Here is a 24,825-nt window from a genome sequence, read left to right on the forward strand (position 1 = left end):
TCAGCTAGAATTAATGGTTAACAGCTGACAGGTGAAAGTGTGGTTAAATGCAGCTTTGGCTAGCAGGCACACAGGCAAAATCAAGTTCTACATCTGTCCCTGTGTATGTCACTTGTTTGAATACGAAATAAAATTAAAAAAATAAATTCAGTGTATTGAGAAAGCAAGCAATTCTCTCAAGGTATATTTCTGACATACTAAGATTTTAACGACTTTCACAAATATGCTGTACTGAGAGAGAATGTTACATAACATTGAGAACTAGTACAAGTAAATATTAAAGTGAAGTGACCATTTCCTACACAAGCTCATTCAGAGGAGGATGAAGACCATTTTGGAGGAAGAAAAGCACCCTTATTAAGAATTGCAGCAAGTAAGCCAACAAGGTCTTTTCAGGTACAGTTTCAGAACTTACTATTTAACATTCCTCTCAAGCAAATACGCCTTGAAATGCTTTTTTTAAATCATAGGAATTTAAAAACACTTTACAATAGAGAATGATTGATTTTTAAAATGTGTCTGATTTAGCTTTGTAGAGATGTTCCGCTAATATCCATAACTAATCTGAGAGGAAATGTGGAACAACAGAAGAGTAACAGTGTCTACTCAGTAACAAGCGTTTTACGAGTTAAAAAGACATCCAAATGCAGTACTGAAAAATCAGAAGTCTTGATTTGTCTCACTGATGACTCCGTTTTTCCTAGAGCAGTCTGTTTAATGCTTACTGGAGATAAATAGATTTATAGGTGACCAAGACAATCGATTAATGTATCAGCCACAGACTTTTTTAAATAGAAAATTTTCTAAGTAGGAAATCATTCATAGCTCTTTGAAAGATATAGGGAGAGGCCTCAAGGAAAGAAAGAAAGGAAAAAAATTGGGAAAGGAAACAAAGATGAAAAATTGGGGTGGGGAGAGCGGTCAGATGGTGGCCATGAGAAGGATCTGAACACAGAGAGCGGCGGGGCCGGCGGGGAAGGAGGGAGGAGGGGAGAGCGCTGCTTCCCTGTGGGTTCCGGCTTCTGCAGAGCTGTAAGAGTTGAATGCCACACACAGTCACACTAAGGAATGCTCCAGGATTGGGAAAGAAAATTCAACATTATAATGAGAACACTGTGAATGCTATTGAATTAACTACTCCCCTCTCTCCCTATTTCTTGTAAGTCTTAGTGTCAGTAAACTAATTATAAATTTACATTTTATGTTCTAAAAGCATGCACCTTTTTCTCATTGTAGGATGATTTTCTTATATCAAGTGGTACATTTCATTTTATTTACTTCAGTTTCTGGTGGTAAGTAGAGTGTTATCTTAACTATGGGCTGGGAGAGGGAAATCACACTGCAATCTCCACACATGTGGGAGAATCCCACACCATTTATGCCGGGAAGGAAATAAAATGTTTTTATTAACTTCCTGCCTGAGGCTCCAGAGGTTTTCAAAGCAGGGTAGGAATTGAGGTGAAAAAATTGTTTGTACTGGTAGGAATCTGTGTCTATATGTGTACCATATCTACATCCATGCCTACATACATCATTCATTTAAATGATATTTAAAAGCAATATTAAAAAGAAGAAATCTTGATTTGCCTCACTAATTAGTTGGTTTTTCATAAAGCAGTCAGTTCAATGGAACATACACACACACATAAAATAGGAATTTTGTACTGAAAAATGTTATGTAACTATTCATACACAGTTTATGCATTTCAATAATTTAACTACCCTGTTAATTCTCCACCCTATGTCACATCTGCTAAATTTGTTTATAAATTACTTAGCCAATATTAAGTAGGATATATCAGTACAGGTATTGTTTAGTTCCATGACCATTCTTTATTTAAAATGAAAGCTGAAGCATTCCTTTAGAAAAATAGCTTATGTCTACATGTTATATTTAATTTCTGATACTATTGCTAGCATTTTAAGCATAGTAAATTCTTTTTGCTGGCCTATGTGAAAAAAGGCAAACCTAGGTGAAGATATTAAAAGTAAATTCCACTTAATATATTAAATTACACAGCTCATAATTTCAATTTTCTCTGTGACAAGACTACTGCTCAGGTTATAATATTCCTTTGTTATAATTATCTGGAAATTGTATTGTTATTTCATTGATAAATATGTCAGCGCTAAATAATTTGATATATTTTGAACACTGGACCCAATAACTACATAAACAATTGACCCTGAATCAGGGGTTCCACATCCATGGATTTAAACAACATTGAAGTGAAATTTTTTAAAAAAAATTATATCTGCACTCAACATGTGCAGAGTTTTTTCTTGTCATTATTCCCGAAACAACACAGTATAACAACAATTTGCATAGTATTTACATTGTACTAGGTATTATAAGTAATCTAGAGATGATTTAAAGTACACAGGAGGCTGTGAGTAGGTTATATGTAAATACTATGCCATTTTCTATCAGGGACTTGAGCGTTCATGGATTTTGGTATCTGCAGGAGGTCTGGCAGCCAATCCCTCATAGATATCAAGGAATGATAGTGTACATATTTAGGTCCTTTATACATGCACATGGAACATTTACAAATATTGACCACACACAAGCCTCTGAAACAAGGCTCAACAAATTTTAAGGGGTTAAAATTATACTGATCATGTTATTCAATCACCGTGAATGGGAGCTAGAATAATAATAAAAAGGGAATTGAAAATCTGCAAACGTTTGAAAATTGAGTATTTATAATCACCGTGAATGGGAGCTAGAATAATAATAAAAAGGGAATTGAAAATCTGCAAATGTTTGAAAATTGAGTATTTATACCTTTTTAGATTAAGATGAATCAGAGATGAAATCACAATGGTAATTAGAAAAGGAATTGTACAATAATGAAAGTACAGTATATCAAAACTTTGAGATGTAACCGAATCAGTGTTGAGATCAAATGTATAGATTTACATGTATACATTAGAATACAGAAAAGGGAAAAATTAATGATATAAGATGACAAGAAGATAGAGAATAGCAACTTAAGTGCTAAGAAATTAGAAGGCAGAAAGAAGAAATCGCAGAAATTAATTAAATGGAAGACACACATATTTGAGAGGTCAACATAACCCCTTTCTAGCCCATTTTATAAGGTCAGGGTAATCTTGACACCAAAATCTGATAGGAAAATTCTGAGGAAAAAAAGTCACAGGTCTTTTATCTTATGAACATATGTACAAATGTCCTAAACAAAATATTATCCAACTTAACCCAGTAGATTGTTAAAAAAATTAAAGGATGATTACATTGTGATATTGTGACAAAGTTGGGTTTATTCCAGGAATGAAAAGTTGATTTAACATTCAAAAATCAATAGATGTGTGACTTCGGGGTACATACCGAAAAAAAAGAAGGGAAAGCAGGAACTCACACAGATATACTTGTACACCCATCTCATAGCAGCATTATTCACACTAACCCAAAGGTGGAAGCAGCCCATGTGTTTATCAACAGGTGACTGGATAAAGTGTGGTACATACATACAAAGGAATATTACTCAACCCTAAAAAGAAAGGAAATTCTGACACATGCTATGACATGGATGAACCTTGAGGACATTACGCTAAGTGAAATAAGCCAGTCACAAAAGAACAAATACTGTGGGATCTCACTGATAGGAGGTACTTAGGGTAGTCAATTTCATCAAGACGGAAATTAGAACAGAGGTTGCCAGGGGCCGAGGGGCCAGGGGAAGGGCTGAGGGTTGGTGTTTAATGGGCACAGAGCATCAGCTGGCGAAGTTGAAAAGTTCTGGAGGTGGATGGTGCTGATGGTTGCACAGCAATGTAAATACCCTTAGTGCCACAGAACTGTACACTCAAGATGGCTACATGGCACATGGTATGCTATCTGTCATAATAAAAAATAAAAATAATTTTAAATGTTAATATGTGCCGAAAAATGCTTGCTAAAATTCTATTAATGATCAAAACTTTAAATAAACTGGAAATGGAAGAGAACTTTCATCAGCTATTAAACGATATTTTAAACAAAAGCAAACAAAAATCCAAACCAAAAATCTTCAAGAAACATAATACGTAATAGCGGAATATTGAAAGCTTTCCCAAGGGATTGAGAATAGGACAAGAATACTTCCCATTATTTCCATTTACTCTTGACTGGAGGTACTCGTTGGTGCGGTAAGGAAGGGAAATAAAAGGAAAACGATTAGGAGGAACATAAGCTCTCGTTTTTCACAGATGATGTGATTGAGTACCTAGAAAAATCCAAAATTAACCATCACATAAATTATTTGAGCCAATTAATTAAATGAGTAAGAAGTCTCGATACAACGTCAATATACAACAGCAAGCACTTGCTCGTTCGCAAAAGCAGATGAACTAGTTTTTACTGACACTAGAAGCAGCATGTGTTCCATGTGTTCCACATCCATGCACTCAAACAACCTTGACGTGAAATATTTTTTAAAAAATTGTATCTGTACTCAACGTGTGCAGAGTTTTTTTCCAAAATTGTTTTCCAAAAATTTTTAAATGTTTATATGTTTAGGGGGTGTAAGTGCAGATTTCTTACATACATATATTATGCGGCGGTGAAGTGCCGGCTTTTGGTGTACCCATCACCCAAGTAGTGAACACAGCCTCCAACAGGTAATTTTTCAACGCTCACCCCACTCCCATCCTCCCATCTAGTGGCATATTGAAAATCAATTTGTCTTGTAAAATTAAATAATCCAATTAGGAGGGGGATATATTCTAAGGAAATTAGTGCATGATGCACACACACACACACACACAGAACACGTGTGTGCGCATGTGCACATGAGAGAGAGTGAGAGAGAAACTGGGTCTTGCTCTGTCGCCCAGGCTGGATTGCAGTGGTAAAATCACAGCTCACTGCAGCCTCAAACTCCCAGGCTCAGGAGATCCTCCTACCTCAGCCTCCCGAGTAGCTGGGATTACAGGTGGAAACAACCATGCCCAGCTAGTATTTTTTTTTTTTTTTGTATTTTTTATAGAGACAGGGTCTTGCCATGTTGCCCAGGCTGGTCTTGAACTCCTCAGCTCAAGCAATCTACCTACCTTAGCCTCCCAAAGTGCTGGGATTACACGCATGAGCCACTGCGCCCACTCCGCATTATTAAATATAGAACATTTATTTGATTCATCAGTTAATATTCTTCTTAAAAGTACTATTTTAATGTAGCAAGATTGCTTTCCACCAAAAGGTGGGGTTTCCACGGTGGGGTTTCCAAATTATTCTCAATGGGGTGAGGATGTGTGTTATCACACCCCCGAGCCATCAGATGCTGTCAGAAAGTGATCACTCTGAAGTCTTTGTTTCAAATAAGCACAGGGTTTGGATAAAGAGACGCAATTAGGAAAGGAAAAAGCAGAAGGCTCGTTCCAGACCTGGATGAGATCCTAAAAAGCAGCAGCTTTTGCCAGTAAAGATCCTTGAAATGATTCAATTACCCTCAAAGCACTCCTTGTCTCCAAGACAATCACTCATAAGCACAATTCCATTGAAGCCAACGTACCATTTTGTGATTTTCGTTTCCACCTGAGGCTGTTCATTCAATAAACTCACATAAAAGTGTTTATTGCCTTGATTTCCAAATTCAGGCGTATTTCCTGGTAAGTAGAGCTACTTGCCTTGCCTTTATGAGATTACCACCTAACTAGATGTATGCCCAGTAAAATCCAACATAACGCATGCCATGTACTACATCACAGAATGTGTGACTCAGTTGTTGAAGGACACCTGCTTTGAAGGAGGGGACATTACTACGGTCTTCACACCAAGCGCCAAGTACTGCCAGGTAGTCTGCACTTACCACCCAAGATGTTTACTCTTCACTTTCACGGCGGAATCACCATCTGAGGATCCCACCCGATGGTAAATGCTTATGTTTCTACATCGAGGAGACAGATTTTTAAAGGGAGATTGCTATTCTTAACACATTTCCATCTAACATTTTATAAAATTTAACATTAACAACTGGAAGATAAATTGTCTTTCAGTTGAAATATTGTTACAGAAAGAAGTGATGGTGTTTACGCAATTTAGAAAAGAATAAATATGCCTCCAAGTGTAGACTTTCCAGCCTCTCCTATAGTCTCATATTAATGGTATGTTTCTTCTGTTTGTCTCAATTTTTACACTTCTTAAACATTTCACACTTTGCTTTTCTATCGATTATTAATTTTTGTCGTGCTTCTCAACAAACTGGAACTTCTCCCAACTATTTTATTAGAAAAAAATAAAATATTTAAAAAGAAAATTTGAAAAAAAGTACAGTACAGTGATCCCCCTGCCACCACCAAAACCGCAATGTTTGCTATATTTGTACAGCAATATACAATATACAATACCTATATTTGTATACATGTTTAACCGTTTGAAATAATTTTAAAACATGACACTTTACCCCTAAATACTTCAGCATGCACTATCCTACACAAAAGACATACGAAATTTAACAAGAATTCCTTTATATTATTTCAGTTTTCCCTCAAATATAATTTATAGTAATTAACCAGAATCTTACCAAGAGTCACTCACTGCATTGGGTGGTTTGTCAGGTTTAAAACATTTTAAACAGTCCACCAACCATTTGTATTCCCATCCTGAGCTTGAAAATTTAATAATAAGCCTTTCTGTAGAATTAAGTTTTCAACATCTTTATTATTGCTACATTCACAGGCATTTATGTAGCACCCAGAACTTATAAAATTTACTATTCCAGAACCTAGAGCAGGGATTGGCAAATGTCTTCTTAATAACGCAGAGTAAATATGTTAGGCTTTGTGGGCAAAACCCACAGTAAAGCCAAGGATATTATTTAAGTATTTATGTCACCACTTAAAATGTAACAATTTGAAAATATAAAAATCATTTTGTATAGCTAACAGGCTAAACAGAAACACACAGATTTTTGGTTGCATTTTACCAACAGGTCCTAGTTGACACATTCCTGTTTGTTCCTATTAGAAAGGAGTATTACATGCAGTCTCTTAAGTGTAGGGATATTGAAGTAAAAAACAAACTCAGAATCTTGCTAAGAAAATATTTGTTTTGGCATGAGATAAAGTAGTTTGTTTCCTTCTTTTTGGCTTTCTGTGTGCTGACTTTTAAGATCCATTATTTTAAAAACATAAATTCCTATTCATTAATATGTATTTTTTAAAAAAACAGGTTTACTTGTGTCCTGAAAGACAGTGTTACAGAAACACTGCCAAGAGTGAATAGGACAGCAGCGATTTCTGGGTATTCTTTCAAGCAATGCTCACACCAAATAAGCGGTAAGATATGTTCTCAGAATCAACAAATACCAGCTGTGATGTACACATATCGCCACATCGGATGTGGTTTTAAGGCTATGAAATGAAACACTGCTATGTGGAAATAAACCCCCTTAATGAAGTTCTTTCAGTGTAGAGTATAAACTAGTATACATACATGCCTGCCCTCCAACACACTGTAAAAACCTCTTTACCTCATAGAAAGACATATCTTACTACCTCACTTCCCATCATTTATTTATATTCTTTCTATTTCCCAGCCTAAAATCTTAAATGAAAGTCTTTTTTTTTTTGAGACAGGGTCTCACTCTGTTGTCCAGGCTGGAGTGCAGTGGTGCAATCACAGCTCACTCCAGCCTCAACCTCCTGGGTTCAAGTGATCTTCCTGCCTTAGCCTCTGGAGTAGCTGGGACCAGAGGCATGCACCAACATTCCCAGCTAATTTGTTCATTTTTCCTAGAGACAGGGTCTCACTGTATTGCCCAGGCTGGTCTCAAACTCTTGGCCTCAAGTGATCTGCCCGCCTCGGCCTTCCAGAGTGCCGGGATTCCATGGTGCCCAGTCGAAATTCTTTATTAAACGTATTAATCCAAATTGAAAGGAGCAAATATAAAGGTTGAAGTGACACTTGTCTTAATAGTGAATAGATACTTGAATCAGTTAATTAGCGAAATAATCAGTGCAGTTAGGGAGAAGAGAGGCTAGGTCAGAAAATCAAAATGTGAATTTACAAGTCTAAAATTGTTACAGTGTAAGAAGGACATTGGCATTCTTTTACTGCTTCCATTCAAGAATAAGAATTTTGCAGATTAATATAACGAAAGACCTCTGAGGAAAGGTGGGTGAAAAAGTTGAAAGGATGAGTCAGGAGGGACAGTTGCTTAGGTCATTGCCCCTAGAATCTGGAAGGTACTCATGTCTTCTGCTTTTATTTCCAGCTTGCAACAAAGACATTTATGTGGACCTAGACATGAAGGGCATAAACTATAACAGCTCAGTTGCCAAGAGTGCTCAAGAATGCCAAGAAAGATGCACGGATGACGTCCACTGCCACTTTTTCACGTACGCCACAAGGCAGTTTCCCAGCCTGGAGCATCGGTGAGTGAGTCCCAGGACATTCGAGTGGTCGATGAAAAACAGAATCGTGATTTACTAAAAAGCTTTTGCCATCAACTTTATGCCAGAATTTATTTTGAACCCCTAAAAGACATTTCTATAATAGTACTCCTAGTTTTCTTCATGAAAAATACACTTAAAGCCTAATTTGGATGCATTTCATTTATGGTAAGGAGTCTATCTTTTAATAACACTGTCAGAAAAATATATATACTTGGCTAATTTCAAAAGCGCTACACTTTTAAATTGGCACTTTTGAAACAGCTGCAATTGGTATGATTGTCAGTGCCCTTCCCAGTCTAAAAAATGTTACAGTCTAACAGAATAAAAATAAAAACCTACTCTCTCTCTCTCTAAATAACAGTTCCTTACCTAAGACAAAATACTCATGTAAAAAGTCTTATCCTGCTCCATACTGGATTTTGAAATATTTCAAGGATAAATCTATCACATAAGGATTTAAAAATTATCTGATCTCTAATAACCAAATCTGTGTTCTCATCTTTAAAAATTTACTAGGGAAATAGATTATTAATTTGTATATTCAGAAATATTTGAGATGATTTAGATTTTCATAGTAAACTGCATTTATCTGGAATCAACAGAAAAGTGAAAAACATTCAAATTACTAATACTTGCGTTTTAACATTGGATTTTAACATTCTGCTCTCCACATTCACAAAGAGGAGTGAACAGAAAGCAAACAAAGCATCAACGAGTTATTTCAAAAACAACAGTGGTGAAAAACACACACACCAAACCCCTAAATTCATGATTTGACTTGTAAGGCTTATCTTTAGCTCAGCTCAGACGACAGCTTTTATGTCTAAGACTTAACAGAATGTGAACTGCAAGACAAGAAATTGGAGGTTTCTAAGCAAGATAAAGTTAAGTCATTAAAAGTAAGAAGGACTTAGCCAGGCGCGGTGGCTCACACCTGTAATCCCAGCACTTTGGGAGGCCGAGGCGGGCAGATCACCTGAGGTCAGGAGTTCGACACCAGCCTGACCAATATGGTGAAACCCCGTCTCTACTAAAAAAGAATACAAAAATTAGCCAGGCGCGGTGGTGGGCGCTTGTAATCCCAGCTACTTGGGAGGCTGAGACAAGAGAATCGCTTGAACCCAGGAGGCGGAGGTTGCAGTGAGCCAAGATCGTGCCATTGCACTCCAACCTGGGCAACAGAGTGAGACTCCGTCTCAAATAAAAAAAAACAAAAAATGAGAAGGGCTTGAGAAGTCATTCATTCATGCACTCTCCTTCTTCATGTGGTCACTCTCTCAAGCTGTCATTATACTGAAGAAGAAATAAACTTACACAATTCACAGGTGCTTAGCAACACTGCTGGGACCATGCCCAGCCATTCAGCCTCCCAGATGGATGCTTCGGGGTCTCGCAGGTCCTCTCTCCAAAGGGGACTTTCTTAATATCTCATGTTTTTTCCTCCTTGCAGTTGGAAGAATAAGACACTTTTCCTTTTTCTTTTTATTCAGTAACATTTGTCTACTGAAGCACACCCAAACAGGGACACCAACCAGAATAACGAAGCTCGATAAAGTGGTGTCTGGATTTTCACTGAAATCCTGTGCACTTTCTAATCTGGGTAATTATCGACTTCTTGATGATGTAATTCAACCATTAAATATGCTGATGATTACAGTAGATCTCACTCAGGATACCAGCTTATGCTCACGATGAAACGGACCCAAAGATCTTTACCTTCTTCATGTGATAGATTTCATCATGTCCTATACAGTTAGATCCTCTATTTAAATTTCCAGTTTAAAATAATCATGCCATTTTCTTCTAAATAAAAAAAAATTAAAAGATCTTGGGATACACTTAAATTTTTTAATATGGAATTTACACATACTGTGACCGGAATTTTCCTGATAGCTGGTGAATTGAGTCCCTGACATAGTTCTTCCGTCGCGCAGCTTGTATTAGGGACATTTTCCCTAATACGGTGTTTGCAGACAGCAACATCGACAGTGTCATGGCTCCCGATGCTTTTGTCTGTGGCCGAATCTGCACTCATCATCCCGGTTGCTTGTTTTTTACCTTCTTTTCCCAGGAATGGCCCAAAGAATCTCAAAGGTAAGGAGTTAACAAGTAAGGATAATTTGTTATCTTCTAAAAATAGCTGATCAAAATCCATCATTAAAAATTCCAAGTAACTAAAAATTTACTCTAAATGTCAGTATAGGATAAAAGTTGCAAAGAATTTCTAGCCCCTCTCCCTTTCTATTCCCCACCTACTTACCACAAACCCAACATTACCGAGGACTCTTTTTTTTTTTTTTTTTTTTTTGAGATGGAGTCTCGCTCTGCTGCCCAGGCTGGAGTGCGGTGGCATGATTTCAGCTCACTGCAACCTTCGCCTCCCAGGTCCAAGCGATTCTCCTGCCTCAGCCTCCTGAGTAGCTGGGACTACAGGCATGGGACACCACGCCCAGTAATTTTTTTTGTATTTTTAGTAGAGATGGGGTTTCACCATGTTGGCCAGGCTGGTCTCAAACTCCTGACTTCAGGTGATCCACCTGCCTCGGCCTCCCAAAGTGCTGAGATTACAGGGTTGGGCCACCGTGCCCGGCCAGTAAATTTTAAAATAAATATAAATATTACTTCACCTAAATAAATTTTAGGTACAGGTACAGTTGTGTTACATGGATATACTGTGTAGTGGTGAAGTCTGGGCTTTCAGTGTAGCCAAATAGTATACATTATTCCCATTAGATAATTTCTCCTGCCTCACCCTCCTCTATCCTCCCAACTCTCTGAGTCTCCAATAGCTTTCATTCCACTGTCTCTGTGCCTGTGTACACTTTATTTAGCTCCCACTTAAAAGTGAGAATCTACAATATTTGACTTTCTGTTTCTGAGTTGTTTCACTTGAGATAATAGCCTCCAGTTCTATCCATGTTGCTGCAAAAGATATGATTTTATGATTTTTTTATGGCTAAGTAACATTCTATAGTATATTCTATACACCACATTTTCTTTATCCATTCATTTGCTGATAGACTCTTAGGTTGATCCATATCTTTGTTATTGTGAATAGTGCTGCAGTAAACATGTGAGTGTAGGTATCTTTGTGACATGATTTTTTTTTCTTTCTTTTCCTTTGGCTATGTACCCAGTAGTGGGATTGCTGGAGGTCTCCACCTTGGCAAAGGGGCAGTTGTCTAGTTCTAAATGAAATGAAGAGATTCCATTTCCATTTCATGACAACTAAAAGACAATTCAGTCCAATGCTTTGTTTAAAATAATTGAACCAGGAACAGAAAGAGCTGAAAATGTCAGTGAAATGTCAAACCCAAAGTGGAGAGAGAGAGAGAGGTGGAAATGAATGTCTCCATCAAGTGGGTTAGGGTGGTGGTGGAGGGAGGTTTGAGAATTGAGTCCCTGTTTCCTTACCAATGGAAATTAACATAGGACATCAGAAACAGCATGGAAAATTTCTTTGATTATCAAAAGTACACTAGCTAAGGTTGCTGTCCCTCTTTTATTTATTTATTTATTTGAGACAGGGTCTTGCTCTGTCACTCAGATTTGGTTGCACTGGGTGTGATCTCAGCCCACTGCAGCCTCCACTTCCTAGGCTCAAGCAATCCACCCGTCTCATCCTCCCAAGTTGCTGGGACCACAGGTGTGCACCACCACCCCCAGCTAATGTTTGTTTTTTTGTAGAGACAGAGTTTCGCCATGTTGGCCAGGCTGGTCTAGAACTCCTGGCCTCAAGCAATCCACCTGCCTTGGTCTCCCACAGTGCAGGGATTACAAGCCTGAGCCACTATGCCCAGCTTGCTATTCCTCATTGACAACATTCACTTAAACAAGCAAACAAATATCCGTAAAATTAAGTCAGCTTTAAAACCTGGCTTGTATATATCTCTGAATTGGAACTCTCAGAGCCCTCAGCACTTGCCTGATTGGCCTCCTGTTGATGAAAAGTTGTCCTCCAGACAACTCAGCCAAGGGAGGCCCTGTGTGCCTTGCCTATCACATGAGCCTCACTTTCCACTGAGTGAGGCTGTCATTTCAGAAGCACCGGGTCTGTCACATGAAAATATATCTGTTACCATCACTTACTAAACAAATTTAGTAGAATTTGTTTGGTGCTTATTATGTATCAGGCATTGTTCTGAAGGCTGGGGATACCATTTAGTGAACTAAATCGACAAAAACTTTGCCTATTGGACCAGAGTGGAGATGAGAGAGAAGTGACCAGATCGATCTGTGTTATCAGCAGACAGCCAATAAGATTTGCTGATAGGTTGGACCACGGATTGTGAAGGAGTCAGTGATAGCACCAAGACTTTTGGCCCAAGGAACTGGAAAGATGGAAATGTCAATGACAGAATGTGGAGGATTTCGCAAGCAGCAGAGTGTAGGAGAAGCAATGCCCTTGGCTCATCTAGGGCAAAGGGTTGAATTGGCAACTGGAAATAGAAGTCAAATTCAGAAGAGAGGTTTATGTGGACATCTGTGTTTAGGTGTCACCAATATACAGCTGATACTTTTTAAAAATCTAGTGAAATTATCAAAGGGTTAAATGCAGAGAGGGAAGAAAGTAGGTCCAAAGATCAAGCCTTGGGACATTGGAAGTTTAGAAATAAGAAAGATGTCATTGTCACTTGTAATTTTGTGCTAGTCACTGCTCTTTTTCTTTGTCTTATTACCTTACTGACCAATTCCTAGAATAGGAATAACACATTTGATCTTTAATACAGTATGTGATAGGAACATGGCTTCTATAAGCCCAAACTTGGCAATTTAAATTTAAATTTATTAAAATTAAATAAAACTGGCTGGGTGCAGTGGCTCACGCCTGTAATCCCAGCACTTTGGGAGGCCGAGGCGGTGAATCACGAGGTCAGGAGTACGAGACCATCCTGGCCAACATGGTGAAACCCCGTCTCTACTAAAAATACAAAAGTTAGCCAGGTGTGGTGGCATGTGCCTGTAATCCCAGCTACTCAAGAGGCTGAGGCAGGAGAATCACTTGAACCCGGGAGGCGGAGGTTGCAGTGAGCCAAGATCGCGACACTGCACTCCAGCCTGGGTGACAAGAGAAAGACTATGTCTCAAAAAAAAAAAAAATTTTAAATAAAACTAAAAATTCACCTTCCCAGCTGTGTTAGCCACATTTCAAGTGCCCAATAGCCACATGTAGTTGGCAGTTACTGTATTGGATGGCACAGGCATAGAATATTTCCATCACTGCAGAAAGATCTATGGACAGTCTTGCTCTAGACTGTGATTTTGTCTACTTAGGAAAAGTCACTCTTTTCCAGGAAGATGCTTCCAGGGTGTGGAGTAAACGACGGACTTCACCCATCTCCTTATAAACCTATTGCAACCCTGGATAGGAGGTTTCTAGGTAGCATGAAGACTCTTGAATCTTTAAGATAGGCTGGGAGTGTTGAAAGGAAGGAAATGAAAAGGGAAGATACTAGGAAGACTGACAATAGAGCAAGCTCAGAAAATTTTTATGGAGGTGATTTAGTTAGAAAATTTGTCTGCAACCTAAGGGCCATGGAGTGTGACTCCATGGTTTATGGGTGTAACTCCGTGGTTTATGAAGAGTACTTTCAAAATAGGAAAATCTTCACAACTAAGTGCTAGCATGAGCTGACTTTACTTTCTCTAGGTGCTGTAAAAATGTTTTTATGTGTTTGATATGATATATTTCTACTTCCCTTTTGTTTTTGTTAGAAATCTTTGTCTCCTTAAAACATCTGAGAGTGGATTGCCCAGTACACGCATTAAAAAGAGCAAAGCTCTTTCTGGTTTCAGTCTACAAAGCTGCAGGCACAGCATCCCAGGTAAACTGAGAGTTCTGCATTCTGGCTGAGAGTGACCAGCCCCGAGGAGGCTGATACATGCTGAGGGAGGGTCTCACTCTGACATGTGGTCTGCTGTCTAGTGTTCTGCCATTCTTCATTTTACCATGACACTGATTTCTTGGGAGAAGAACTGGATATTGTTGCTGCAAAAAGTCACGAGGCCTGCCAGAAACTGTGCACCAATGCCGTCCGCTGCCAGTTTTTTACCTATACCCCAGCCCAAGCATCCTGCAACGAAGGGAAGTAAGCCATATGAAGGGTTATGCAGACACCCTTGTCCCGTCTGCCTGTGAGGTGCATTATGTTTATACCGTTTTGTTTCCAACTGCAGGGGCAAGTGTTACTTAAAGCTTTCTTCAAACGGATCTCCAACTAAAATACTTCACGGGAGAGGAGGCATCTCTGGATACACATTAAGGTTGTGTAAAATGGATAATGGTGAGTATAATGTCACTTGAAAAAATATAGCTGAAGGAATTATTCCATGCTTCATACATCACAATCAAGACTGTCAGTTATAGCCACAGAAGGGAGAACATTCAGGAAATAACAAATTTTGCAATTTTCTATTATTTTCACTCCTGTCACTCAAGCTGACCATGTTTTAAAGGTAAATATTGAGGCTTGACTAAACTGTACATTGCCTAGTATTAACTAAATATATGCTTTAATTTGACACATTTATACACCTGGCATTTCTGTTTTCTTTCTTTCTTTTTTTTTTTTTTTTTTTTGAGACACAGTCTCACTCTGTTGCCCAGGCTGGAGTGCAGTGATGTGGTCAGTGTTCACTGCAGCCTCTGGCTTGAACTCCTGGACTCGAACAATCCTCCCACCTTAGCTCCCTGAGTAGCTGGGGCTACAGGCGTGCACCACAACACTCGGCTAATTTGTTGTAGAGATGGGATCTTGCCATGTTGCCCAGGCTGGTCTTGAACTCCTGGGCTCAAGCAATCCTCCCGCTTTGGCCTCCCAAAGTTCTGGGATTACAGGCTTCAGCCACTGCACCCAGCCACAACTGGCATTTCCTAATGAGACCCAGACTCTGCCAACACTCCTGTTATCAAGGCCAGTAATCTTTCCTATTATCCTTTGTAAGGGAATTATCGATCAGCACTTTGGTTAGTCAAATTACTAATTTTCTTCCAAAAATTGTGTATCTATTCAAGAAATACTGGAGCACCTCCTTTTTAGGGTCTTTATTCAGATTCCATGCAGGGTTCTGGAGACTTAGGGATTGGCAAAGGTTAAGGTAAAACTTTACTAGTAACAATGAGTGTGGTAGGATGGAAATAAGTGTTTAGATTACACGAGACCTGTAATAACATAAAAGTTACAATAAAAATCCAACCAGCAGTGTTTCCATCCCAGTGGCCAATTTCTGAGCATAGTCACGAGAGATGCTTTGTAGGCAAACAGAATTGTTCTAAGGGACAAAATCCCCAACAGGAAAGAACACACCACAAACACTCCTGCTTAAATTACCATAGTAACTTAGGATGGCTTTACTATATATTGATTTACATAAAGCTGCATGTTCTTATACTGTTTATTGCCAAATGTCCAATATTACAATACACTATAAGGTGCAACTGAGATTTAATGAATAAAATGGAAGTAACAATCCTGCCTCGTGATAGTTTTAGAAGCACAAAAACATTCTGTGTCAGATTATCTGCTGTACCGAGAAGGCGAATCAATCCTTAATTTCTGAGAACTTGTTTTGTAGAACATAAAGACGTTATATTGCCTCCAACACTGGTATCCTAACTAACAGACTATGCCTTCCTAGAGCTTAGAGGCGCTCCGATGAAAATCTCTGGATGGCTCAAGACTTCTTAAAAAGCAAGTCAATTACGTCGTATCTCATACATTCTGTTTTCCTCACAATAAATTTCCCTAAGACAAGAAGGAGCATTCGGCACCATTCTGTTGTCTTTCTTCTACTTCTAAGCGTTAGAAGGGACACTTAGCAAATGTTGCTGTTAAGTAATGTTGACATGGTTTAATAAAATGGGAATGAGCACGTATACCTCAATACATTGCAGACTGCATTTTCCCCCTTCCTTCTTCATTATGGTTTTCTCTGTTGGATTTATAGACTCTGGCCTGTAGAAGTTACAGAATATGCCAGGTATAGATTGATAGCTACAGGAGAAAATGTAAGATAAAGGAAAATAAAGTCTTACGTCTTTTCAGTGCAACTTTGGAGGGAGTGAATTAGATAACTAGGTTTTTACTGCGCTGTATTTGATGAAATAACCCCCTAATGTGAAAGGGAATAGCTGCGTGAGATATTTATGGTGCCTTGTCTGTCACTGGTCTACAATGTAACTTAACTTTCTGAAGATAGATAGCAGCACCATTAAAATAAACATTTCTTACCACAAAATATGATTCTAAACACATATTTTCAGCATTTCGTTTAAACTGAGAAACAGCATAGGATGAACCTCAAGGCCTCTCACCTGGACCTTGAGTTATTTCTAAAATATCTTAGTTACTATTTACCTATTAATTTTCCTAAAATTTACCTTTATGACGCTTCCCACCTTGCAGAAATTCCAGAATAGATGGCCCTCCAAAATGAATGTTCACCCTTCCGGCTCTAAAATGAGAGCCTCTGTTCAGGCTTCCGAAGTCACATCGTGCTCGTTCTCACCTCAGTTGCTGTTAGCTGCTGTTTCCTTCCGAACTCCTTCTCTCATCCTCTCCTCCTATTTGAAATCTGCCCCAGAATTATACACTCATTTTCCTACCAAGGAAAAAAAGGCCTAGAAAGGTTGTTTTACACCCACAAAACTAGTGAATGGACCTTCTAGGACCCGGCTTCTCATCAGTGATTCTTCTGTTAACTTAGACTCCTCCCTTAGCTCAGGACGCGGAGCCTTCTGAGCACCTGAGCCTGGTTATTCTAAATGTGATCTGGGCACAGCACATTGACATCACCTGGGAGCTTGTTAGAAAGAATTTCAGGACCCACACAGATGTTACTGAGTCAGAATCTGCATTTTGAAAGCTACACAGGCAACCCACAGGCACATAAATTTTGAGTCGCATAGGTGTGTGCGTGTGTGTGCGCATGTATGTGTGCGTGTGTTTGTGTGCACGTGTGTGTGTGTGTGTCTAGAATACTGCTGTCTACGAACACCCTATTCCCATCCATCTGTGTTCCATGGCTCCAACCGGGAGGGTGGGTTCTTGTGTCGGGCATCCAGTAAGTAGAAATAGAGGGCACTGTCCTGTCTAGGCAGCCCCAAGAGAAAAGAAACAGAGGGATGAGCCTGAGTCAAAGTCCCTGAAAAGTACCAAGGACCCCAGAGAATCCCAAACTGTCAACAAGGCCAAAGGTCAGAGGAAGTTCATAGCAGATCAGTCTTACTTTGGACGTGGGTGGAGCAGGAGTGACTGGGATCATGGTCAGCAGAGTCACTGGGACAGGGCAGGAACTGGACAATGGCTGCAGCCTGCGGGCAAGGTGCTTGCCTTTTCTTTCTAAGAGCAGTTCTCAAACGCCAGCAGGGCTGGTTCAAACACAGATGGCTGAGCTTCCAGGCTGGAGTTTCTCATTCACTGGATCTGAGGTTGGGCTGAAGAATGTGCATTTCTAACACGTTCCCAGGTGACGCTGTTGGTCTGGAGACTGCACTTGACAACCACTGGTTTAAAAACACCATTCACGTTATCATTTGAAGGAGGGTAAGACAGCCTTGTAGTACCACACAAGGAGGGCTACATTCTTAGGGGTGTGTAATTACAAGATGACTTAGTCAATTCCATTTTTCATGTGCATGTTTTGCTTTGGCAGCTTGATTATAAAGTCTCTGTAACTCAGGGTCATGATAAACTATTGACTTGAGGAAAGGTTTTCTTCTTGTTCCTGAAGGAGCATAATTACTGATGGAAAGGAAGATGTAGGAAGCTGCTCATCACAATGCTTCTGTTGCAGAGTGTACCACCAAAATCAAGCCCAGGATCGTTGGAGGAACTGCGTCTGTTCGTGGTGAGTGGCCGTGGCAGGTGACCCTGCACACAACCTCACCCACTCAGAGACACCTGTGTGGAGGCTCCATCATTGGAAACCAGTGGATATTAACAGCCGCTCACTGTTTCTATGGGTCAGTACCACGGCTGTTTTTATTAGTTCATCTTCTTCACACATTTATAAAAAATATTACTAGCATGTTAGGAAATAAATACTTTAACCAATTAGATTGTCTTATTTGCAAAATTAATTAATTGCTTCAGTGGTAAAAAACGCAAAAAGGAAGAGCTCATGGTCTCCCAGCATCAGAACAGGTGCAGGTACAAGGCTGCTTGACTGCCTGCTATTCCGCTTCCCATTTAACCGCATTCACATCCCCAAGGGCCTTCATGTTATTCCCTGCAAGAGCATACCTCCCTCTGTGCCTCGCTCTGTGCACTGTGCCCGGAACTAAACTCACAGAGGATTTACCATTGTCTGAATCAAATTTCTAATATGTGTGTGTGTGTGTGTGCGTGTGTGTTTAAATACAGAAAGTGGCCAGGTGTGGTGGTTCACGCCTGTCATCTCAGCACTTTGGGTGGCTGAGGTGGGAGGATTGCTCAATGCCAGGAGTCTGAGGTCAGCCTGGGCAACATAGTGAGACCTCGTCTCTAAAAAATATTTAAAAACTAGCCTGGCATGGTGTTTTGTGTGCCTGTAGCACCAGCTGCTCAGAAGTCTGAGGTAGGAGGATTGCTTGAGCCCAAGAGTTCAAGGGTGCAGTGAGTTACTACAGTGCCACTGTGCTCCAGCCTGAGCAACAGAGCAAGACCCTATCTCTAAGTAAATAAATAAAATACAGAACGAGTTCGGTATGCATCCTCACATTGGATTCCTTACTTAGGTCACTTTCAGCGTTGGCCAAACAAAAAGGCTCCAGCTGGGGGTATATATATTCCAGGGAAGTTAAGTTGGCCAAACTTTCCGTTTGCTACTTCAGTATCCTCCGAGTTGTTTCCAGACACAGTTTTGTGTGCTTTTTAGTTTTGGTTTTCTTTTTTAATCAATCTGCAGCACACTCATGTTAAACTCAAGAACACATGTGAGGCCAAGAGTTCCCGTTACCTGTCACATATGGGAATGGAGTAGCAGAAAGCCTAGTTTCTGTCACAGCTAGTTACTGGCGAGATTGAGACTGAGTCCAGCGGTCTTCGTGTGTGTGTGTGCGTGTGTGTCTGTGCAGTGTGCGTGTGTGTGCGTGTCTGTGTGTGCGTGTGCGGGTGTGTGCGTGTGTGTGTGTTGGAGCACGGAGGGAGTGCTCATTCATTTTTTGTGTATAATGGATTTTCTTTATAGGGTGAATATGTTTTTTATCCCGAAAAATCTTAGGATAAAATCACTTTTTTCTACCTAAATGTCCATCATTGGCAGAAAATATTAGTAATAATTAAACAGCCACACACTTCACAATGTCTGGGAATTATTTTTAGTAAAGGAAATTTCTTTCCCTCTGTTGTTTGCTCCTTAGGGTAGAGTCACCTAAGATTTTGCGTGTCTACAGTGGCATTTTAAATCAATCTGAAATAAAAGAGGACACATCTTTCTTTGGGGTTCAAGAAATAATAATCCATGATCAGTATAAAATGGCAGAAAGCGGGTATGATATTGCCTTGTTGAAACTGGAAACCACAGTGAATTACACAGGTACGGAGAATTTTATCCGGAAAGTTGTCTCCAATGGTGAACTGGATAAAATGTTTAACACTACTAGACTTACGGCCTGACCCTGCCAATCTCTCCATGCGTTATCATCATGAAAGGGAGAGGGCCTGGAATGCTAGTCATTCACTCTGCTAAGGCTGACACACTTTCCTGGCTATTGAAACTTATTTTGGGAATGTGGGTAAAGAGATACGTTTTCCTGAGTCTTCTTCAGGTGCATAGAATGACATAATTTCATAATACTTTGGAATAGTAAAGATAATTTAGTCTAAAGATAATTTATTAAAGATAATTTAGGGATGAAGGATTGAAGGTTAGAACAATTAAGCAACTTGTGCAGGATCAAAGTGAGTTGGATGAGGAGTTAGCGGTGAGGGTGAGGCTTGTCTCTCTCTCGCCCTCTCATCCTGGCACATGTGCGATATCGTGCTGAACCTGAGGGAGGAAAATACACGACAACAAGGCAAAAAATGAATATAGTAAACAAAGAAAACACAGATAATGTACAGTGGAAGAAGAGTCTCTTCTGGAAAAGAGGATATATTTTGCGTCTCATATTTAAACCACGATTTTTTAAATTTAGATTCTCAACGACCCATATGCCTGCCTTCCAAAGGAGATAGAAATGTAATATACACTGATTGCTGGGTGACTGGATGGGGGTACAGAAAACTAAGAGGTAAAAATGATGTTGTTATATGTGCTCCATCCTAGAAATGAAGAGCGGAACCTTTTCTGCCCTGTCAAGTCATGTAGCTGAAGCACAACTCGAGTCACACTACTCAGTTGCAGGAAGCGGATTAATAAAGATGGAGAGGCAAAAATCACCCAAGTGAGGCTGGTGCCTCATATGTTTGATTGGAAATTTTAAATGTGACTAAATCTCTTTAAAGACTAATTATATTTAATGAAGTTTAATGTGAAGCCTAGCACTTTTCAGTAAATGTTCTAGCCTGCTATCCAATTACTTTCTTGGGAAGTCATTCCAGTTAGAGTCATAATTAATTTTTGAACTTAATTAACATTAACAAAATGGTACACGCAATAGTGGGAATAATGTCTTCTTCATACTTGTAATTATAAAAGGTCTGTGAAGTAAATCTAACATTTTTTCCTTCTAGATTTTTATATAGACATGAGTTTTGTGTTGTTGTTGTTTTGAGATGGACTCTCGCTCTGTCGCCCAGGCTGGAGTGCAGTGGCACGATCTCGGCTCACTGTTACCTCCACCTCCCGGGTTCAAGTGATTCTCCTGCCTCAGCCTCCCGAGTAGCTGGGATTATAGGTACCCAACCACCACCCCAAGCTAATTTTTTGTATTTTTAGTAGAGACGGGGTTTCATCATGTTAGCCAGGATGGTCTCAATCTCCTGACCTCGTGATCCACCTGCCTCGGCCTTCCAAAGTGCTGGAATTACAGGCGTGAGCCCCCACACCCGTCCATGATTTTTATTTTAAATATATGTGGCCCAGCACCACTGGTGGCTCACGCCTGTAATCCCAGCACTTTGGGAGGCCAAGATGGGTGGATCACTTGAGGTCAGGAGTTCAAGACTGGCCTGGCCAACATGGTGAAACCCTGTCTCTACTAAAAATACAAAAATTAGCTGGGCATGGTGGTGTGTGCCTGTAATCCCAGCTACTCGGGAGGCTGAGGCAAGATAATCGCTTGAACTTGGGAGGTGGAGGTAGCAGTGAGCTGAGATTGCACCACTGCACTCCAGCCTGGGCGACAGAAAGAGACTCCGTCTCAATTAAAAATATATATATATATATATTTATATGTATGCATATATGTTTATGTGTATTGTGTATGGTTATTCTACAAACGAACCAAAAAAATTTTTTTCAGACAAAATACAAAATACTCTCCAGAAAGCCAAGATACCCTTAGTGACCAACGAAGAGTGCCAGAAGAGATACAGAGGACATAAAATAACCCATAAGATGATCTGTGCCGGCTACAGGGAAGGAGGGAAGGACGCTTGCAAGGTAACAGAGTGTTCTTAGCCAATGGAATATATGCAAATTGGAATGCTTAATGCGTTGGGGTTTTTTTGTTTGTTTTGTTTTTTTTGTTTGTTTTTTTTTGAGACAGAGTCTCGCTCTGTTGCCCAGGCTGGAGTGCAGTGGCTCGATCTCAGCTCACTGCAAGCTCTGCCTCCCAGGTTCACGCCATTCTCCTGCCTCAGCCTCCCAAATAGCTGGGACTACAGGCGCCAGCTACCAAGCCCAGCTAGCGTCTTTTTTTTTTTTAGTTTTAGTAGAGACGGGGTTTCACCATGTTGGCCAGGATGGTCTCGATCTCCTGACCTCATGATCTGCCTGCCTGGGCCTCCCAAAGTGCTGGGATTACAGGCGTGAGCCACCGCGCCGGGCCGCTTAATGCATTTTAAAAAGCAGTCTTCTGCCAATGAGCAGGGAACACAGTGTATTTGTTTGACTTAGACTGAAATCAAAAGCAAGGAGATTGACTGGATGAACGCAAGCACCCAGGTTCTCTGCAGTATATTAAGGGGCCAAGACAACATTTTAGGCAAAATCAGCCTGAGCAAGATGTGCTGAAGATGGGAAGCGTCTGAGTTGATCTGTGCACCTTTTCTTGTCTCCCCTCGTTCTAGGGAGATTCGGGAGGCCCTCTGTCCTGCAAACACAATGAGGTCTGGCATCTGGTAGGCATCACGAGCTGGGGCGAAGGCTGTGCTCAAAGGGAGCGGCCAGGTGTTTACACCAACGTGGTCGAGTACGTGGACTGGATTCTGGAGAAAACTCAAGCAGTGTGAATGGGTTCCCAGGGGCCATTGGAGTCCCTGAAGGACCCAGGATTTGCTGGGAGAGGGTGTTGAGTTCACTGTGCCAGCATGCTTCCTCCACAGTAACACGCTGAAGGGGCTTGGTGTTTGTAAGAAAATGCTAGAAGAAAACAAACTGTCACAAGTTGTTATGTCCAAAACTCCCGTTCTATGATCGTTGTAGTTTGTTTGAGCATTCAGTCTCTTTGTTTTTGATCACGCTTCTATGGAGTCCAAGAATTACCATAAGGCAATATTTCTGAAGATTACTATATAGGCAGATATAGCAGAAAATAACCAAGTAGTGGCAGTGGGGATCAGGCAGAAGAACTGGTAAAAGAAGCCACCATAAATAGATTTGTTCGATGAAAGATGAAAACTGGAAGAAAGGAGAACAAAGACAGTCTTCACCATTTTGCAGGAATCTACACTCTGCCTATGTGAACACATTTCTTTTGTAAAGAAAGAAATTGATTGCATTTAATGGCAGATTTTCAGAATAGTCAGGAATTCTTGTCATTTCCATTTTAAAATATATATTAAAAAAAATCAGTTCGAGTAGACACGAGCTAAGAGTGAATGTGAAGATAACAGAATTTCTGTGTGGAAGAGGATTACAAGCAGCAATTTACCTGGAAGTGATACCTTAGGGGCAATCTTGAAGATACACTTTCCTGAAAAATGATTTGTGATGGATTGTATATTTATTTAAAATATCTTGGGAGGGGAGGCTGATGGAGATAGGGAGCATGCTCAAACCTCCCTAAGACAAGCTGCTGCTGTGACTATGGGCTCCCAAAGAGCTAGATCGTATATTTATTTGACAAAAATCACCATAGACTGCATCCATACTACAGAGAAAAAACAATTAGGGCGCAAATGGATAGTTACAGTAAAGTCTTCAGCAAGCAGCTGCCTGTATTCTAAGCACTGGGATTTTCTGTTTCGTGCAAATATTTATCTCATTATTGTTGTGATCTAGTTCAATAACCTAGAATTTGAATTGTCACCACATAGCTTTCAATCTGTGCCAACAACTATACAATTCATCAAGTGTGATTTTTTTTTTTTTTTTTTGAGATGAAGTCTCACCCTGTTGCCCAAGCTGGAGTGCAGTGGTGTGATCTCGGCTCACTGTAAACTCTACCTCCTGGATTCAAGCGATTGTCCTGCCTCAGTCTCCCAAGTAGCTGAGATTACAGGCACATGCCACCATGCCCGGCTAATTTTTGTATTTTTAGTAGAGACGGGGTTTCACTATGTTGGCCAGGCTGGTCTTGAACTCCTGACCTCGTGATCTGCCCACCTCGGCCTCTCAAAGTGCTGGGATTACAGGTGTGAGTCACTGCGTCTGGCCATGGAAAATATTTATTGAGCACAATTATGTGAGAGCATCATGCTGAGCTTTGAAGATACAGTGGTGAGCAAACATATATCCTGGCTTCATGAAGATTATACTCTAGTTAACATGAGCAACAAAATAAAATAATCACACAAAATATATAGGTTCAAGCTGAAATGAGTGGCTGCACCAGATTCTATGAGATAAGAAAGGAAGAAGGACATTTTTCACCAAGTTCAAAGACTGGGATACAAAGGAATTTGTCCTGACAAAGGCAAAACAAAAACAACAACAAACAAAAAACCCAAAAGAGCAAAATGACAGTAGAACATAACGGGGCCAGATCAAAAATGCTGACAGGTTCCCAAAAGAATAAAATGACGGTAGGACATGACGGGGCCAGATCCAAAATGCTGACAGGTTCAAACAAAATTGGAATTGAAAATCAGAGTGCGTTCAAGAGTATCAAACAATACTATCTTGTTACTTGCTTATTACCTTAGTAGACTGGAAGCAACACTTCACACAAAAAAAGGGTTTGGATGTAATTTCGGATAAGAAGAGATGTTTCTGTAAAGTCTTTCCTGAGAAGCATATTATTTGAGAAAAACACATATTTCTGTTTTTAGTATTTCACTTTGTATAATGTCTTAATTTTTGAAGAGCTGGTATATTCCTATGATTCATTAATGAAAGTTCTATAAGATATAAAATATACAATGAGGAGATCTCCTCTTCTGTACCAGAAGAGTGCACATT

At 39.9% G+C, this 24,825-nt stretch overlaps 1 protein-coding gene and 1 long non-coding RNA gene across 17 annotated transcripts in view; one reads left to right on the forward strand and one right to left on the reverse strand.

The window, feature by feature from the left end:
- On the forward strand, positions 290–24,811 carry F11 (coagulation factor XI). Of its 16 annotated transcripts, none has more exons than NM_001440590.1 (15): positions 290–396; positions 1,237–1,292; positions 5,710–5,872; positions 7,172–7,278; positions 8,217–8,376; positions 9,888–9,997; positions 10,332–10,491; positions 14,113–14,222; positions 14,372–14,486; positions 14,575–14,681; positions 18,193–18,361; positions 19,739–19,914; positions 20,516–20,611; positions 21,785–21,924; positions 22,554–24,811. In NM_001440590.1, exons 2-15 carry the CDS (start codon positions 1,238–1,240, stop codon positions 22,713–22,715), a joined length of 1,830 nt encoding a protein of 609 aa, NP_001427519.1. In that variant the 5' UTR covers positions 290–396; position 1,237; the 3' UTR covers positions 22,716–24,811. The 16 variants fall into 16 exon arrangements, with proteins under 16 accessions (NP_001427519.1, XP_005262878.1, NP_000119.1 ...); XM_005262821.5 differs by having other exon boundaries at positions 14,324–14,486; positions 14,572–14,681; positions 22,554–23,782; NM_000128.4 differs by having other exon boundaries at positions 14,324–14,486; positions 22,554–23,782.
- Positions 20,199–24,825, reverse strand: part of F11-AS1 (F11 antisense RNA 1) — a 214,961-nt gene continuing 210,334 nt past the window's right edge. The window contains exons 3-4 of the long non-coding RNA NR_033900.1: positions 22,529–23,103; positions 20,199–20,367 (exon numbers count right to left, since the gene is read on the reverse strand). This is a non-coding gene — a long non-coding RNA (F11 antisense RNA 1). The remainder of the gene's footprint in view (positions 20,368–22,528; positions 23,104–24,825) is intronic.

Source organism: Homo sapiens, chromosome 4 (genome assembly GCF_000001405.40).
Source record: "Homo sapiens chromosome 4, GRCh38.p14 Primary Assembly".
Lineage (NCBI taxonomy): Eukaryota > Metazoa > Chordata > Mammalia > Primates > Hominidae > Homo > Homo sapiens.